Consider the following 18983-nt stretch of genomic DNA (forward strand, 5'->3'; position numbering starts at 1 on the left):
TCTGTTACCCAGGCTGGAGTGCTGTGGCACAATCTCAACTCACTGCAAGCTCCACCTCCCGGGTTCACGCTATTCTTCTGCCTCAGCCTCCCAAGTAGCTGGGACTACAGGTGCCCGCCACTACGCCCGGCTAATTTTTGTATTTTTAGTAGAGATGGGGTTTCATCGTGTTAGCCAGGATGGTCTAGATCTCCTGACCTCGTGATCCACCTGTCTCGGCCTCCCAAAGTGCTGGGATTACAGCCGTGAGCCACCGCGCCTGGCCGTCTGTCTAGCTCTTTCTTTCTCTCACTTTCTGTCTCTGTTGTCCTCTCGTATCCCTTTCCTCTGTCTCTTTCTTGTCCCCTTCTAGTGGTCTTACTCTCTCAGTCTCTCTCTCCTTCCTTCCCTGTGTACCTGCTCATGTCCCTGGTGGATAAGAATCTTCCCAGGCTCCTCAGGTCATCTATGTGCGATGCTCTCTTCCAGGTGCTGGAGATGAACAAAACATACAAACCCCTTGCTCTCATGGAGCTTACGGTCTAGTGGGGAGACCGACGATAAATATTAAAACAATAAATACTTATATAGTGTGTTGGAAGGAGATAAGTGCTTTGGGGAAGAAAAAGTAGGAAAAAAGGGGCTGGGGTGTTTGGAGGCAGGTCATGGTTTAGATCGGGAGGTCGGGGCAGTCCTCACTGAGAAGGGGATGTGGAAGGAGGGCTTTAGCTGGGGAAGAACACTTTGGGCAGAGGGAACAGCCAGTGCAAAGGCCTCTTTTGGGGGACAGCACAGGGTCCTGCAAGGGCTTGGGAAGCGTGGTTGGGGCCATGGGGCTGACAAGCATATGTTCATTCACCCAGCACATCATTCAGCCAGATGTTCCAAGCACCTACTATGTGCGGGGTGCTCCCTGGCTTTGCAAAGCTTTTGTTCTGGGGCTGGGGATCATACAGTAAACAGGGGAACAGACAGAATCTTACATGCCTGGAAGGTCTGAGGAGTAAATGAACAGATCCCGGAGCAGGAGGCCAGTGTGCTGTGGGCCTGCCTCCCCTGCTCTCTCTGAGGAGGTGGCAATGAGGCCAGACCTGACAGCTGAGGTGCGTTTGGCCGAGCTAAGAACCTCCCAGGTTGTGGGAAGAGCAAAATTATGACCCAGTGTGACACTGGTTGTGATAAGATGTTCACACTGCTTTGGGAGCCTGGAGGAAGCAGCCCTCTAGGCCGGGCTGGGGGACGAGGCCTTACATTCATTCATTTAGACACATATCTGATGCCCACTAGTTCTCCGTGGGCAGGAGTGTGAGTATGTGGGGTTAGGTGTCTGTGGCACTGGGTGTTCCATGGCCATAAGAGTGTTTCCATCCAAGCAGGGCCTAGGGCAGCCCCATAGCTGGCAGCGGGGCAGGGGCAGGGGACTGGGGCTTCTTAGAGCACACCATATTGAGGTGGCATCTTTACTTGAGATGGCGAGGCTGGGGGCCCCGGCCCCAGGTCTGCTCTTTTCCCTGCAGTATTCCCAGTACCCAGCCTGGTGTCTGGCACCTTGTGCTCAGTTAGTATTGGCTGAAGGGATAAGTGAATAGGATGGGGGAGTGGTGTGCCCCCAGGGGGCTCCCAGACACAGATGAGTGTAGTCACCAGCACCTGTATGGGGGACAGCTTGGCAGGATGGTGACTGGCTCCTTGCATCCCACAGGTTGGATGGTCCCGGGGAGCCAGATGTGCGGGATGGCTTCAGCGCCACGTTTGAGAAGATTCTGGAGTCAGAGCTGCTGCGGGGCACCCAGTACAGCAGCCTCGACTCCCTAGACGGGCTGAGCCTCACGGATGAGAGCGACAGCTGCGTCAGCTTCGAGGCCCCCCTCACACCCCTCATCCAGCAGCGGGCCCGTGACAGCCCTGAGCCAGGGGCTGGGTTGGGCATTGGGGACATGGCGTTTGAGGGGGACATGGGGGCAGCTGGTGGTGATGGGGAGCTGGGCAGCCCCCTGCGGCGCTCCATCTCCAGCAGCCGCTCTGAGAATGTCCTGAGCCGCCTGTCTCTCATGGCCATGCCCAATGGATTCCATGAAGATGGCCCTCAGGGCCCAGGGGGGGATGAGGATGATGATGAGGAGGACACGGACAAGTTGCTGAACTCAGCCAGGTGAGGCAGGGCCCAGGCTGGGAGAACCACCGAGCAGATGGGGAAACTGAGACCCAGAGGGGGCAAAGCAGGTTAGGGTGACTCAGTGTCCAGAGTCAGCATGCCCTCTTCAAGGTCACCTGGTCTACCCTCTGCATCCAGGCTTCCCACCCTGTGTCCTGAGGTTTCATTCTGCTCTTCCAGGCCTTCTCAGCCCCGGTAGAAGTCGGGGGAGTCAGGGAACTATGCTGTGAGTTCACTTGAGAGGTTCTTCTGAAAGTCTGATTTCATTCCCTCCGGCTGCAGTGGAGCTTCTTTCCCTGTTCTGGCCCCTACATGGTTTGCAGTGGCCTGGGGAAACCTCCCAGCCTCCTCTGGGGCCTTTGACCCTGGGCCTCTGACGCTACTCTTCCACCCACCTTCCATCTGCAGTGACCCCAGCCTGAAGGATGGCCTGTCAGACTCAGACTCTGAGCTCAGCAGCTCGGAGGGGTTGGAGCCTGGTAGTGCAGACCCTCTGGCCAACGGGTGCCAGGGGGTCAGTGAAGCTGCTCATCGGCTGGCACGCCGTCTCTACCACCTCGAGGGCTTCCAGCGCTGTGATGTGGCCCGGCAGCTGGGCAAGAAGTGAGTGTGAGCTCCCCTGCCCCCAACCCTGGGCAAACCTCGTGTCTTCCTCAACCTGAAGAGGGTGTGGGTGACCTTCTTCAGGGGTGCCAGGTGCTGGGGGGGCACTCCCAACAGTTCCCCAAGGACACCTCCTCCCGCCACTGTCCTCATTCCTGGCCTCGCCCTAAATCTGTTTCCTTTCTGGGCTGCTTGGGCGAAGCTGATGCTCTCGGGGAGGGGTGGTGGCGGGCAGCCCCTCAGGGCTGGGGGTGCGGGATGTGGGATGTGGTTATGGGGCCACGATGGATGTGAGGACAGAGAAGCCAGCAGGAGCTGGGCCCAGCTAATGGGGCCAGGGAGAAAGGAGAACCCGGGCCTCGGGGGACACCTCTGGGACCCAGAGCTCAGGAAAGGGCTCCTGGCCTTCATTAAGCCCTACTATCTATTGGGACAAGCTGAAGGGGCTGAAGCCCCCAAAGCACACACCCTGGCCTTCAGACCAGGTGCAAAGGGAACTGGCTAGATGAGGGCCCCAAAGGGGACCAGGGGACAGGCGGGATTGCAGGACCGAGGAAGTCTGCCGGCACATTCTGCTCACATCTGACCACCAGTGTGACCACCCACCACCTGCCCCTGGCCCTTTCATCCAGATTGCCTCCCAACGTCCGCATTAAGGCTCTGAGCTGTGCAGGAGCAGGCCTGGCCCTGCAGCACTGCTCACAGGGCTGGGAGACAGTCCAGACCCTTGTCCATGAGTGGGAGATGACATGCAGGCTAGGCCTCAGGATGCCCTGAGGGCGGCTCAGGTCCTGGATCCTCCTCTTCTCTCACTTCTTCTCCCTCCCTCCACTTCTCCCTCCACCCTCCTCAGTCTCCACGCTGCTCCTGCACCAGGTCCCCAACAACTGCGCCAGCCCAGAAATCACAACTCGGATGCCCTCACCTGTTCTGCTAGGCTGGACCCCCAAACCTAACGCCATCCTTTCAGGAGCCTTCTTTGTGGCCTGCCCCTGCCCTCTCCCATCTTTTCAACCACTCCCTCCAGCAGCTAATTGTCCTCAAGTCTCTCCCATCTGAAAAACAAAAAGTGTTTCTCAACCCCACTTCCTCCTCTAGCCAAAATTCTTGGATTTTCTGCCCAGGGTGGCCTCTATCCCCTTTCTTTCTCCACACTCAGCCCCTCCACACTGGTTTCCTCTCCCCACACCAACTTCAGAAACCTCTTGTGTCAAGGTCATTGGTGGCCTTGTGTCTTTGAATCTGGTGGTTGCTCCCCAGGCCTCACCTTAGCCCCTTCAGCAGCTTCCACGAGACTGGCCATTTCTTTCTTTTTCTTTAATTAAACTTTTTATTATGAAAATTTCAGGCCGGGCATAGTGGCTCATGCCTGTAATCCCAGCACTTTGGGAGGCCGAGGTGGGCGGATCACCTGAGGTCAGGAGTTTGAGACCAGCCTGGCCAATATGGGGAAACCCTGTCTCTAACAAAAATACAAAAATTAGCTGGGCGCTGTGGTGGTTGCCTGTAATCCCAGCTACTCGGGAGGCTGAGGCAGGAGAATCGCTTGATCCTGGGAGGCGGAGGTTGCAGTGAGCCAAGACCGTGCCACTGCACTCCAGCCTGGGCAACAGAGCAACACTCCATATATTAAAAAAAAAAAAAAAAAAAAAGAAAATTTCAAACAAACACGAAAGCAGAGGAAAAAAATATCAAACCTCTATATGCCCATTACTGAGTTTCAAAGTTACTATTTGCTTCATTCTCATTTCATCTATGACCCACAGCCTTTTTTTCATGTGCTGGAAGATTGTAACGCATATTTCAGACACTCTATCATTTGATTTATAAATACTTTAGTATGTATCTCCAACTGATAAGGATCTTTTTTTACATAATCATGATTCTATTATAATTTCTAACAAAATGAACAAAAAGTTCTTAATCTCTCCAACATTCAGTCTGTGTTTAATTTTCTCTGATTGTCTAAAAAATGTTGGTTTATTGAAATCAAGATTCAAACAGGGTCCACACATTGCACTTGGCCGATTGGTCTGTTAAGTCTCTTTTAACCAACAACAGTTCTGCAGTTTGGCGGTCCTCCTCCCTTCTTAAGTGCCGTGTATTTGTTGAAGAAACCAAGCCATTTGTCCTAAAGAATGTTCCACGGTTTGGATATGGTATCCTGATGGTGTTATTTAACATGTTTCTCTATTTCCCATGAGTCCTGCAAATGGGCAGCGAGCTCCAGGCTTAATTAGAATCAGGTGGAAATTTGTTCTAGTTTTTGACAAGAATTCCTCATGCCAGTCTTCTTGAAATACAGTCTTCGTTGGCCTGCAGGACAACACACCCCACCTCTGGCTGCTGCTTCTCAGCCTCCTTCGCTGGCTCGCTCCTGGGTTCCCACCCCGATTCGGGGCTCTGGGCCGGCCAGCTTGTCTGTGCCCTCTCCTGTTGCATGGGCTCAGCCCCACCCTGAGCTGTTACTGACCAGCTGTGAATTGATGACTCTCACACGGATGCCTCGTCCTGAAGTCTCACATCTCCCGCAGGGGACCACCTTCTTGGTCATGCCGCACGTCCATTCCATCTCCTTGTCTTGTGGATTCTGCCCCCTAAATTTCTCTTTTCCCCATCCCTTCTATCTCTATCTGGACAACTATGGCAGTCCCCCTGTGGGTCTCCACTCAGCAGGTAGCGCATTCCAAAATACAGACTGACCATCCCTGCTTTAACCTTTCTGAATCAAGTCCTGGTCCTTCCCCTGGTCCCGGCCTCATCACTTGCTGCCCCATTCTTGCTCTTTAGGTTCTGGCCACATGGCCCTGCTAGTAGCTTCTTGGACATGCCATGCAGTTTCCTCCCTGGGGACACTGCATCATCCCACCCCTACTCCCTTCGCCTGGTTAGCTCGTAATTCCCTGTGTTGACTGAGACATCACCTCCTCCAGAAAGCCTTCCTGACACCCCAAGACCAAGGTTGAATGTTATGGCCCAACTAGCCAGCAGCCTAGGGGTTGAGCAGGTCTAGGGGGTGGGTGGGTCCGGGTACCCTGGGCCCAAGTAATGCCTGTGATTCTGTCATCCTTGGGCTGGACCCTGCTTCTAACAGACATCCCATACTCTCCTGGCAGCAACGAGTTTAGCAGGCTGGTGGCCGGGGAGTACCTCAGTTTCTTCGACTTCTCGGGCTTGACTCTGGACGGAGCACTCAGGTCAGTGGGGCTGGGACAGGCAGTGCCCACAAGTGGTACAGGCTGCACTTCTGGATTCTCATGTCAACTCTACCATAAACTTGCTGTACAACCTTGGGCAAGTCTTTTGACCCCTGGTGAGGCTGTGGGGAAGGGGCCACAGGAGCAGCAGCGGCCCAACAGTTAGGCGAGTGCCCACTTTGTAGTAGCTGTTAGGATGTGAGGGTGGAAATGTAATTGTGACTCTAGGAGAGGAAGGGAGGCTCAGGACTTGCCTGTATTGAGCACTTCCTGCCTGCCAGATGCTCTAGGTCTTTACTCACCTTGCTTACTGCATCCTCTGTACCCAGTAAGGTAGGCACTATCATTCCTATTTTTCACATGAAGAAACTATGGGCCAGAGGGATAAAGAGACTTCCCCACAGTCATCGAAGGAGGAGATGGTAAAATGGGATTTTATCTCAACTCTATTGGTGTTTGGACCTAGGGAGTAGACCTCAGGAGGGCCAATTGCAGGTTCCCAGGAGCAGGAGGGTAGAATGGATGGGTGCAGCCCTGTAGTATCTAGCAGGCTCTGGTGGCAGGGGCCAGCTGGGCAGATACTGGCCAGGTCCTAGGAGAGATGGATGCATCTCAGAGCTAAGGGGTAGGGTGACTCATGCACGTTAGACATCTTGACTGTGTTCCACATGTCTCTTACACTTTAAAAAAATGTAATTTCTGGTCAGGCACAGTGGCTCATACCTGTAATCCCAGCACTTTGGGAGGCCGAGGCTGGAAGATTACCTGAGGCCAGGAGTTCCAGACCAGCCTGGGCAACATAGGGAGGCCCAGTCTCTACAAAAAAGTAGAAAAATTAGCCAGGTATGGTGGTGCAGGCCTGTAGTCCCAGTTCCTCAGGAGGCTTAGGTTGGAGGATCACCTGAGCCTGGGAGGTTGAGGCTACAGTAAGCCATGACTGCACCACTGCACTCCAGCCTGGGTGACAGAGTGAAACCCTATCTCAAAGAAACAAACAAACAAACAAAAACCACATACAAAAAAAGTAATTTCCATTCTTTTTTCTCTGCTTCTGTTGGGATATTTTCGGTTGACCTGTTTTCACTTCACTTCACTTACCCTTTTCTGTTTGTAATATGTCATTAACCCATTTATGCCTGAGGTTGCAATTTTCTGAATTGCAAAATCAGACCTTGGCGATCACCTTGAGCAGTAGGATATAAATAACTCCCACATGCTTAGCGTTCCAATAATGGAACCATAGGCATAAATGGGTTTTGAACTCATTTATTGAGTTTTGAATTTATGTTATATTTTCCATTTCTAGAATTTCCATTTTATTAAAAAATTTAAAAAATAGATTCTAATTCTCTGGGTGAATTATCCATCTTTTCCATTATTTTCTCCACCTTTCCCTCTCTTTTTTTGAACATATTAGTTGTAAAGCCCTTGCTGCTAACTCCAGTATCTATCATCTGAATCATCTGTATCTGTTTCTATTGTCTCTTTTTTCTCTTGGTTTTCCATCATATATCCTGTCTCTTTGCATGCTTAATAACTTAAAAAAATTGGATGCTGTATACTTTGTATAGAATTGTAGTGGTTCTAGATTATTCTGTGTTCCTCCAGAGAGGGTTTACGTTGTCCTTTGCTAGGCAGTTAGAAGGTTTGTGGGGATGCAGTGCTAATCCAATTAAGGTTGCACTGAAGTTTGGTATGGCTCAGGGTTTGCTCTGATAATAGGGTCCAGGCCCTCGGAGTTTTCTACTGGGAGCCTCATGTGTTCAGTTGGGCAAACCCCCTTGTTGGCTCAGAAGCCTAGTTTTGTCTTCTCAGTGCAGCAACACTGCCCCCTCTTCAACAAAATATCCCTCTACTTCTCAGAGGTTTTCTGCTTAGCCTTTTAGCCTCCTGCCTTTTACATCTTTTATATCTCTGAAATTCAGCAACTATCTCAAAGGGAAAAGTGGCCATGTGTTTACAGCCCCTGAAGTCTCCAGCCTCTTGAAGCCACCCAATGCCCTGCCTCTTGCCTGTGCCCATAATCAGCAATGCCCCCAGGGAAAAAGCAGCTGCAGAAGGTCAAACTACCTTCCCGCAGTTCTCTCCTCTCCAGAATCTTGGCCCTTTTTGTCTTTGTTGCCTCAGCAATTTTCCAATATCTTAAGAAAACCCATGGTTTTTATTGTTTTCAGTGGAAGTGTTGGTGTGCTGCAGGCTACTGTATCCTGAGCTGAGTTGTAAAGATTGCGCTAGAATGAGGAAGATTGGTCTGGCAAGGTGTTCAGCGGGGTCAGCTCATGATCAGAGGTGTGGGTGCTAGACTGAGTGCCTTGTATGCCAGCCCAATGCTGAGGCTCAACTGTGCAGGCACTGGAGAGCCGCAGAAGGTACTGGCTGCAAAGCAACATTTTGGAAGCAAATACTGGCCCCAATGTACTGGTGGCCTTTGATCTAGAGGCATGTAGCCTTCTGAAGAGGGTCAGGTGGGAGAGAACAAGCATGAGGTTGGGCAGAGGGGAAAGGTCGGTGTGAGAGGCTCCACAGAGGGAAGAGTAAAAGGGCTGCTGGTGCCAAGATGTGGGGAGGGTGGACAGTGGTGAGGCTACCCCTAGGGACAGCCCAAGAGTTTGGTGGTGGCGGCACGGGGTTGCGGCTTGGGGCAGAGTGTCCAGGGAAGGGGAGTTTGGGCTGGGGAGTAGGAGTTGGGATGGATGGCTCATAGGTAAGACAGGCTACGGTTTGAATGGGGGAGGTTTTGAGAAAGTCCTGGAGGAATGTGAGAAGAGGGAGGGGCCAGGCTGGGGGACAGATGGGAGAAGAGAACGGGAGCAAGAGAGACAGGGAGAGGAGGACAGCGAGCTGTCAGACAGGGCAGTGCTATTATGCAGCAGTTGGTTGCTTGGGATTGGATTTCGAGAGTACTCTGCAGTTTTGGATGCCTTGAGGCACCTCAGAGTGTAAGGGCTGGCCAAGTCATGGCTTGCAGGTCCCAGGGTGCCTTAGGAGGTGGCATGAGAGAGGGTAAAGCAAAGTGGGCATTGCAGCATTCTGGGCCAAAACGAAATGAACTATAGCAAAAATTAGGAAAAAACCATCTTCTGAACTCAAGACTGATGGAGACACCAATGGCCTCAGCCTGTAATCTCCCTTCCCAAGGGAATGACCTTTATATTGGGCCTTGAGGGAGATTCAGAGCTGCCCAGCAGAGGAAGGACGGGTGTCCTGAAGGCCTGGCCTGCTCTGAGGCACTGAATAGTGAAATGCCTGTTCTGTCCAAGGTGTAGCAGGCGGGTATGAGGTTGGAGGCAGAGGAGGGTAGTCTGGGCAGTGAACATGGCCATGATATGAGGAGCCTTGGTGCTATTCTGAGGGTGCCAAGGGGCCAGAGGTTGTTTTTTTTTTTTCTTGAGATGGAATCTTCTTCTGTCGCCCAGGCTGGAGTGCAATGGTGCGACCTTGGCTCACCGCAACCTCTGCCTCCTGGGTTCAAGTGATTCTCTTGCCTCAACCTCCTGAGTAGCTTGGATTACAGGCATGCGCCACCACACCTGGCTAATTTTTGTATTTTTAGTAGAGATGGGGTTTCACCATGTTGGCCAGGCTGGTCTTGAACTCCTGACCTTGGGTGATCTGCCCAACTCGGCCTCCCAAAATGCTGGGATTATAGGCGTGAGCCACCGCGCCTGGCCCAGTGATGGATTTTAAGCAGTGGTAAGTCCTGCCTATGTGTGTATTTAGAAAGACAACTTAGTGTCAGCAGGGAGGAGGATTGGGTGCAGGGGTGGCCCCGTTGTCCTGGGCACATGATGAAGGTGGTGGCAGCAGAGGAGGATTAAGGTTGAGGTTGAAGAACAAACCATCAGGATTTGGTGGCAACTCAAACTTGGGGTAGGGGAGGAGTTGAGGGGCCAGAGTTGGGCCTGGGGCTCAGCTGGTGGCACATGAAAGAGAGGGGATGACTGAGGAGGAGCATTCTGAAGGGCAGGCAGGGACAGGGTCCGGCTGTAGGGGAAGGAGCAAGGAGTGGGCATCCACCCTGAAGAAGAGCAGGTGCTGAGGTGCTCTTCTGTCTTTGTTCTTCACCATCTGTCCTCTGCCTAATTTCAGAAGGTCCCTGGAGGGCAATGAGGACTGAAACTCTAAAGCTTACCAGGTCCCCTGGCCTCAGCACTCCAGAGTGGCCATCCTGGGGGCCAGGGCCTCCTGGGCGTGGAGAGAGCATCCAGACCCAGAGAGTGGGGCACTGGAGCCCTGGCCCCCTAGAGTGGGTGTGTGCTGTGTGTGTGGGGGGTGGTCTTACCCTGGGTGAGGACTCAGACTGCCCTCAGCAGCTTTGAATTGCCTTCCAGAACATTCTTGAAGGCCTTCCCGCTGATGGGGGAGACACAAGAGCGTGAGCGGGTCCTCACACACTTCTCCCGCCGGTACTGCCAGTGCAACCCTGATGACAGCACTTCGGAAGGTATGGCCCCTTGCCCACTCTGCCTGACCCTCCCCACCCACTCAGCCAGGCCCTGGTCCCCTCCCATCCTGGTCCACCTGGCACTTCGGTCCTGTTGCCAGGCCCAGATGGTTTGTCCTCTCTGGCATGCAGTAGGTGCTCAATGAATGCTAATTGAATAAGCTATGGCACACGGTCTGCCTGCTGAGCAAGGCGCAGTCTTGCCTGTTCTCCTCCCCACTGCCTGGAAGTCCCTCCAGCCTCGGGATTCAGCTCTGGGGCTCTCCCTTCTCTGGGGTCCCTGTCATGGTGCTGGCTGTTGGTGTGGTGGGGGTCTAGGTCGGGGTCCTCTTAGGGACAGGACTTGCCCAATAGATGGGCCTAAGTCCCAGGAACTAGGGGACAAGGCCCATTATTGGGAGAGACACAGGTCAATGCAGGGGCAGGGCTGGGAGCTCAGAGCTATTTCTGGGTCTGAGGTTCAAGGTGAGTTTGGCCACAGGAGGCAGGAGTCTGGGCCAGAGTGGGTCCAGGGTGGTCAGGCTCCTGGGGCAGGCAAGTGACTTGGGTCCTGCAGTTGGGGCAGACCTGGAGCGTCACACAGGCCCTGTCCCCTGAGGTGAGTTTGGCAGGCGGCCGGCCTCCCTCTGTGTCCAAGGTCTCCTGACGGGTTCCGTCAGGAGACAGGGAGTGGGAAGAGGTTGGATCCTCGCACTGAGAGTGCCACCATCTCTGACTCAGATGGGATCCACACGCTCACCTGTGCCCTGATGCTGCTCAACACGGACCTGCACGGCCACGTGAGTTGGGGAGGTGACGGGGGGTGTCGCATGTCCTCTCAGGGACCCACCTTGTGTTGATCCCGGCCCCTTCCTGAGATCTCTTACTCAGTGGCCGGGCTTCTTTTTGAAGCGGTGGGGGTTGGGCAGCTTGGCTTCTAGATTTGGCCCCGCCCTAGTTTCATCCACCTGTGATCCACCTGAGTCCCCACCCCCAAGTATGCCAGTGAGAGCAGCTGGGCCACGGGAGTTTAAGATGAGCCACAAATGTGTGCCTCTCGTCCATGCTAAGAGATCATGTGCCCTTTGTGCCCCTGTCCTGCAAGTCTGAATGCAGCTGCATTGAAATACCGTGCTCGGGGCAGCCCCTCCCAAATCCCCGGCCCCTACCAGGCCAAGCAGTGAAGTGACTGGTGTGGGACGCCCAGGCTGTGAGGCTGTGTCTGGTCCAGGCCCCAGGCTGTCTCAGCACTTCTCATGGCTCAATAACTCCTTCTTCTTTCCTCTATCTGCTCCGGGACCCCTCTCTGGGCTCTCTTGCCCTCGCAGGTGGTAAGTGTAGCTAGTGGTGTGCATGCCCTGTGTGCCGAGGCCCCCATCACCATGTTGCCCTTCTGTGTCCCCCATCACCATCTGGCTCCACCCCATCTCTGCCCCATCATTGCTCACCCATGGTGGTTGGAGCCCCCTGCTAGGTAGGGAATATCTCAGTGACTCATGGGGACAACAGGCCAGCAAGTTAACCAGGAAATCCAGGGCATATGGGGGTGAAAGAAAGAGCTGGGATAGACCAAACTTCAGATTCTACTCTTGCCTCCACGTGGTAGCTGTGTGATCCCGGGCAAGCACTGGCCCTCTCTGGGCCTCAGGTTCCACATCTGTGAGGTGGGAATAATGATCTCCCTGCGGTGTCATGGGCAGGACTGAGAGAGGTAATATACATGGCACCAAGGGGCAGGGTCTGGCACCTAGTAAGGATTTCATTATGAAGAAAATTGTTACGTAAAAAGAACAATAGTATTCCTCATTACTGTGAAAATCGAACCAAGGGCAAGCTGGAAGACCCAGCCTGCAGGCCCCTGTAGGGCAAGATTGTGAAGGCCCAGTCTGCTGGCAGCCTGGGCTCATGGGTGCACTGGGGCACCTGGCCTGGGGAGGGCTAGAGCCTCAGTGCCTGCGTCAGGAAGAGCAAATATGCGACAGCTTTTGCCAAGTCCACCTGGGCATGCAACCTGAGTGTGGAACAAGAGAGAAGACGCATTCCATATGAATGTCACTCACCACCAAAGCCCATGAGCCTGCTGCTGTTCCCCTAGACTGTGCCCTCTGTTTATTGACAGACAGCAGTGTTGCTGGCCTGCTTTGAAAGGAGCACTCAACAGGCCCCTCACTCCCTGTCCCCACCCCTGGCTGGGCCTCCCTATGGCTAAGAACTGCTAAGGAGGGCGGCAGCCACTGTGTAGTGAACCCTGGGCCAAGAGCACCCCGCAGCTTGGTGGGCCTTAGCTGGCATGGTCTCACATTGATGCCACAGCTGAAGAGAAATGTCAGCACTTCATAGATTAGAAGTGGGTTGGGATGAGTGTTCATGTTTGCAGCAGACAGACACTGAGGCTTTCGTCTCTCTCTTGTTTTTTTTTTTTTTTTTTTTGAGACGGAGTCTCACTCTGTCGCCTAGGCTGGAGTGCAGTGGCGAGATCTCGGTTCACCACAAGCCTCGCCTCCCAGGTTCATGCCATTCTCCTGCCTCAGCCTCCCGAGTAGCTGGGACTACAGGCACCTGCCACCACGCCCGGCTAATTTTTTGTATTTTTAGTAGAGATGTCTCTCTCTTTACGTGGTACTGCTCAGAGATTAGGAGCGCAGGCTCTGAGGCTGTGTTCTCTGTTGCTCCACACGAAGGCTGTGTGGCCTGAGACAAGTTATTTACTTCACTATGCCTCAGTTTCCCCATGATAAAGTGCCAGTGTGTAAAGAATGTGAAGTAAAGCTCGTACCCAAGGCCTGGCGGTTGCAGTTACTGGGAGCTCTTCAGAGCACCTGATGCTTTGCACTTTTCCCCTTGCCTCCTCCCCTCCCACGTCACTCATCAAGCAGGGACTGAGGCCTGGTGGGTTGTGGGGATCTCGGGAACAGGGGCCCTGCGAGTCCCCACAAAAAGAGCTCTGTTCAGAGCAGGAGGCAGTAAGGGGCTATCGGGCTATAGGCATGCTCCTGAGATGGGTGCAGTCTGGTTGAGGAACTGGGGAGGATTTGTGTAGAAGAGGCGCTGGGACCCTTGAGGTTGGAGGCTCAACAACAACCCTGCTTTTGTGTTCCATGAACAAGACAAGAAAGGGAGCCCCACCAGTTACAAGAGGTGGACAACACAGAAGTGAACAAGCGATTACAAGTTGTGCAGCTCCATGAAGGGCACACACAGGAAGGTGTGATGGGTCCGGTCTAAGGGTCAGGGAAAGCCTGCAAGGTTTGGGCAGAGACCTGGATCAGCGGGAGCCGGCCATGGAAAGATCTAGGACCACGCATTTCAGGCAATGGGGCCAGCAGGGCTGGTTTTCACCTTGTGGCTGTTGGGAATAGCGCTGCTGTGAACATTCGTGCACAAGTTTTCGTTTGAACACCTGTTTTCAGTTATTTGGGGTTCCTACCTTGGAGTGGACTTGCTGGTTCATATATCTGGTTGTTCTGTGTTTAATTTTTTGAGGAGCTGCAGAACTGTTTCCATAGTGGTGTTTGTTTACATCCAGGTGGGAGATGATGGTAGCGTGGGTAGAAGGGACTGACAAGGGAGACCTTTCAGGACTGAGTCTAACAGGACTTGCTGATGGGGTTGGTCAGTGAAAGAGAGGAGCAAGGGTGGCTTTGGCATGTGGCTAGCTGGGGGTGCCATTTCCTGAGAGGGGGAAGAAACTTCTGTGTGGGGGTGGTGGTGAGTGGGAGAGGGGGACTTGAGTCCCGATTTTGACCTGTGTTTCTGATGCCTCTAGACATCAGTGCGGGGAGGCCAAGGAGGCAGTAACATGGATTAGTCTGGGCCCGGTGCAGACACTTGGGCTGAAGACAGAGATGGGGTGGGGTGGAATTCAAAGCTATGGGACTGGCTGATTGCCATGTCCCTGCAGAGAGAACACACTGATGGCCAAGTCCTGGGGCTCAGCGTTATGTAGAGGCCAGGCAGAGGAGTAGGAGAGACTGCAACGCATCCAGGGATGTCGGAGGAAACTCATGAGTGTGTGGCATCTCTGAAGCCCAGACAAGACAGCATTTCGAGGAGAAGGGAGTGAGTGGCCAACTGTATAAAAGGCTGCCATGAGGTCAAGTAAAGTGATGGCGCAAGAGTGACCACTGGGGTTGGAGTGGTCATGGGTGGGATGGTCAAGGTCATTGGAGACCTTTATAAGAGCACCTTAGGTGGAGTGGAGAGGACAGATGCCAGGTTGAAGTGGGTGAGATGAGCTCAAGAGGCGAGGGTGTGGTGGCCATAGACAGCTCTTAAGATGTTTGGCCTTGCCTGGGGGCCTGACAGGAGCCAGCGGTCAAGTCTGATGTTAAAACAGCCCAACCTTGTGCATGTGCCACCAGGATCAACCCAACAGACAAGATGCTGCCACTGCAGGAGAGAGAAGGGACAGTGGAAGCTTCCCTTGAGATGAGAAGCAGAGCACAGGTGGGAAGTGGCCTTTAGTGTGAGTGGGGAATGTTGACCCATCTCCCACGTTCATAAGAAAGTGAGGCAGAAAGTGGAGGTGCTGCAGTGGGCTTGGTAGCTCTGGCAATGAGAAGATGAGGGGCTTCTGATGGCTTCTACTTCTACCACGAAGATGAGATGAGGTCCTGAGCTGAGAGTGAAGATGGGAAGGGGACTGACCAGTCAGGATGGGTTTAGTTAAGGTCACAAAAAACGTAACACCCACTAGCTTTAAAAATGACAGCTACTTACTGTTTGAAAAGTGTAGAGTCAGGCAGGGTCCAGGGTGGATTTGAATCAGCCTTACCTCCAGTTAAGAGGTGATCTAATTTCTTGTCATTTTCTTCTGACAGTGATGTCAGCCTCATCCCAAGCCTGGCTTCCCCTACATGGGCCCGATAGATGCAGCAATTCCAGGCCTCACAGCCACACTTCACTGCTTGCTGGAGAGAGCTGGTACCCGAAGTGTCTTCTTAGGAGCTGGAGTCAGGAAGGCTTCTACCACAGAAGCTCCCAGAAAATGGCTTTCAAATACCGTTGGCCCCAGATGGGTCATATGCCATTTTCTGAACTGGTCTCTTTGGCCCAGAGAATACCATGGGACAGTTGGAAAAAGCCTAGGTTACCCGAATCAATCTCTGTGGCAAGAGGAATGAGGTGATCCAGGGCCTAGCCCTGGGCTAGAGGTGGGGTCATTCTTCCCCACCCACACCTCATTGCTGATACATAATGGGAAAAGGGTTTTGGAGAGAGAGAGCCACAGTGTCTACTACAGGGACTTTGAGGCTTAAGGGAAAGGAAAAGCCATGCCATGTTCATGGAGGATGAGAGCAAACACAGGAACTGTGGCAGTCAGGAGTCTCCATGCCCATGTGGCTGTGGTTATAGACATAAAATCGGACCAATTAGCACAGCTGTGTGTCCTACAAGTGTATTTGGTTGGACTTGGATACAGGTACAGTATAGGAAATCAGTTGGGTTTAGTCAGTGCTGGGCTTTTTCTAGGCACATATGACAGAAGCACAAAGGGGCAAGAGAGATGTCTGCAGGGAAGTGGTTACTGATGGGGCCTGGGATCTAAACTGGATAAAAAAGAAAGAGAGGACCTTTGAATCTTGTATTAGTCCATTTTCACATTGCTATAAAGAACTTCCCTGAGACTGGGTAATTTGTAAAGGAAAGAGGCTTCATTGACTCACAGTTCCACATGGCTTGGGAGGCCTCAGGAAACTTACAATCATGGCGGAAGGGGAAGCAGGCATCTTCTTCACGAGGTGGCAGGAGAGAGAAGAATGTAGGAGGAACTTCCAAACACTTATAAAACCATCAGATCTGCTGAGAACTCATTCACTATCATGAGAACAGCGTGGGGGAACCACCCCCATGATCCAATCACCTTCCTCCCTTGACATGTGGGGATTACAATTCGAGATGAGATTTGGGTGGGGACACAGGGCGAAACTGTATCAGATCTCAACAGAGGATCAAAGGGTTGTTGGAGTGAGGGTTCTAAAGAATGGGGGAGGTGGAAGAGCAGGAGATGGGGGTCAGGAGTTGTATTTGAAATGGGGGTTTTGGAGATGATGCCAATGCTGGTGATGATGGGTGATGACGGGTCAGCAAATGAGCCTGGGATGCACTGAGTGGGGGATGTCAGAGAACGGTGATTCGCAAGCTCCAGCCATGAGAAAATGGCAGTGTGGGTTAGAATTGGAGACGGAGACCAGGAGAGAAATTCCAGAGGTATTTTTGTTGCACAGCCTATGGCACTGGTCAATGGACTGAAGGCTGGGGTAAGCGGGGGAGAACCACCAGGGTTGAGGCAAACAGAGAAGGAGGGGTGGGTGGGAGAAGTCATTCCAGGAGAGCTCAAGCTGAAACAAAGATTAATTGTTTTTCAGGAACAGCTTAATTTCTCTCCAACCTTGTGTTGCCTGAAGGGTGGCAACAGCGGGAGTTTCTGGCGAAGCGCATTGGGGCTGGATGGTGGAGGGCTGGAGGGACAGGCCAGGGGTTTGGATGCTATCCTGAGGTCTGCAGAGGTCTGCCCATTCTCAGATGGTGACAGAGCCTCACACAATAACCTTAAGGGAATACCAAGTATAATTAAGGTTTAGCCTAGATTTGCAAATAGTGGCAAGGGTTTTTCTGCCATAGGACCTTTGATCAGCCCCTCCCCTCCTCCCGAAGGATGACGTCTGCTTGGCCTGCCTCATCCTGCTTCTGAAATGACCCTTAAAGACAGGCTAGCATTGTTCTGATCTCAGGGCTGTGCATGGAAATCAGACTTGTGGGAAAAGGCCTGGCTCCTGTGGGGCAAAGGCAGTGACACAGTTTTACTATGTGGATGATGGCCTGGGCATCACCCTGTACCCGTCTAGCCTCTACTCTGGGCAAGGAGATGAGTTTGAGGAGATGGTCACCCTGGCCCTAACGTGCCAGGGTCCAGGCCTTGGGATGGGGCAGTGGTTGGACCCGCTGTGACTTTCCTCTGCTCGGAGACAGAGGCTGTGGGAAGAAGTCCAAGGGCTCAGGAAAGACTGGGAGGCCCTGTAGATCCAAATGGGGTGGGAGGGAGGGGAGGAACTGGGAATTCAGAGGCCCCAAATCGTGGACCTCCCTTGGGCTTTGGGATGATCTGGGTGCATGTCTTTTTGCCTGGTTGTCATTATAAGTATTATATTTTAAAGCAGATAACTTACCCAGTATAATTTCACTTCTTTGCATGAGTCTTGCTTTTTCGCCCTGAGAAAGATCAATTCTAGTGAATGTTTCATGTGGACTTGAAAAGAATATATTCTGTGTGTTGGTTACAATGTTCTATATGTGCCAGTAAGGTGCCTATATGTGTTGTAAAAATCATGTATATTCTTAGTGATTTATTTTCTTGTTATGAAACTTACCATTTTAACTATTTTAAAGCTTACAATTTAGTGGCACTAAGTACATTCACAATGGTGTGCAATCGTTGCCACTGTCTAGTTTCTGAACATCTTCATCACAACAAAAGGAAACCCCATACCCATCAGCAGTCATACCCCATTTCCTCCTCCACCTGGCCCCTGGCTAATGCTATTTTGCTTTCTGTCTCTGTGAATTTGTCTACCGTAGATATTTCATGTGAGTGGGATCACACAATATGTGGCCTGTTGTGACTGGCGTCTTTCATTTAGCATGTTTTCAAGATTCATTCATGTTGTCGCATGTATTAGTAGTTCATTTTTTATGGCTGAATAATATTCCATTGTATGGATATGCCACATTTTATTTATCTGTTCATCTCTTGATGGATATTTGGGTCGTTTCCATCTTTTGGTGATTGTGAATAGCGCTGCTATGAGCATTCGTGTACAAGTTTTTGTCTGAATATCTGTTTTCATATTTTGGGGGTATATACCTAGGATTGACTTGCTGGGTCATAGGATAATTCTACATTTAACTTTTTGAGGAAGTGCCCAACTGTTTTCCATAGTGGCTGAACCATTTTACATTTCCACCACCAACATGCAAGGGTGTTCTAATTTCTTTACATCCTCACCAACCCTTTTCTTTTTTTTTGAAAAAAAAAAAAAAAGATAGCCATCCTAGTGTAGTGTGATCTGGTATGTGTGATCTGTAATGTGAAGTGGTATCTCATTGTGGTTTGGATTTGTGTTTCTCTAATGATTAGTGATGTTGAGCATTTTTTTCATGTACTTTTTGGCCATTTGTATATTTTCTTTGGAGAAATGTCTATTCAGGTCCTTCATTCATTTTAAAATTAGGTTGTTTGTCTTTTGTTGTTGTATTCTTAGAGTTCTTTATATATCCTTGATACTAGACCCTTAGTAGATACTTGATTTACAAATTTTTTTTCTCACTCTGTGGGTTGTTTTTCATCTCTTGATAGTGTTCTTTTTTTTTTTTTTTTTTTCCTTTTGAGACAGCGTCTCTCTGTTGCCCAGGCTGGAGTGTAGTGGTGTGATCCTGGCTCACTGCAGCCTCAACCGCCTGGGCTCAAGCAATCCTCTCACCTCAGTCTCCTGAGTAGCTGGAACCACAAGCATGTGCCATCATGCCCAGCTAATTTTCTTCCTTCCTTCCTTCCTTCCTTCCTTCCTTCCTTCCTTCCTTCCTTTCTTTCTTTCTTTCTTTCTTTCTTTTTCTTTCTTTCTTTCTC

At 51.7% G+C, this 18983-nt stretch overlaps 1 protein-coding gene across 4 annotated transcripts in view, besides 1 other annotated feature; it reads left to right on the plus strand.

Moving 5' to 3' along the window:
* Positions 1-18983, plus strand: part of PSD2 (pleckstrin and Sec7 domain containing 2) — a 101992-nt gene that overhangs the window by 69153 nt on the left and 13856 nt on the right. For all 4 annotated transcript variants that reach the window (XM_047417829.1, XM_017009976.2, XM_017009977.2 and 1 more), the window contains 5 exons: positions 1682-2131; positions 2543-2737; positions 5854-5934; positions 10266-10378; positions 11099-11157. In XM_047417829.1, the coding sequence (XP_047273785.1) occupies positions 1682-2131; positions 2543-2737; positions 5854-5934; positions 10266-10378; positions 11099-11157 (898 nt within the window). The remainder of the gene's footprint in view (positions 1-1681; positions 2132-2542; positions 2738-5853; positions 5935-10265; positions 10379-11098; positions 11158-18983) is intronic.
* Positions 2933-3434: an enhancer, noted in NCBI's record as "H3K4me1 hESC enhancer chr5:139194145-139194646 (GRCh37/hg19 assembly coordinates)". NCBI's record gives its function as "activates a minimal SCP1, AML or CMV promoter by ChIP-STARR-seq in primed H9 embryonic stem cells {active_cell/tissue: H9 hESC(primed)}" and the evidence as "EXISTENCE:reporter gene assay evidence [ECO:0000049][PMID:30033119]".

This window comes from Homo sapiens, chromosome 5, assembly GCF_000001405.40.
Source record: "Homo sapiens chromosome 5, GRCh38.p14 Primary Assembly".
In the NCBI taxonomy this organism is placed as follows: domain Eukaryota; kingdom Metazoa; phylum Chordata; class Mammalia; order Primates; family Hominidae; genus Homo; species Homo sapiens.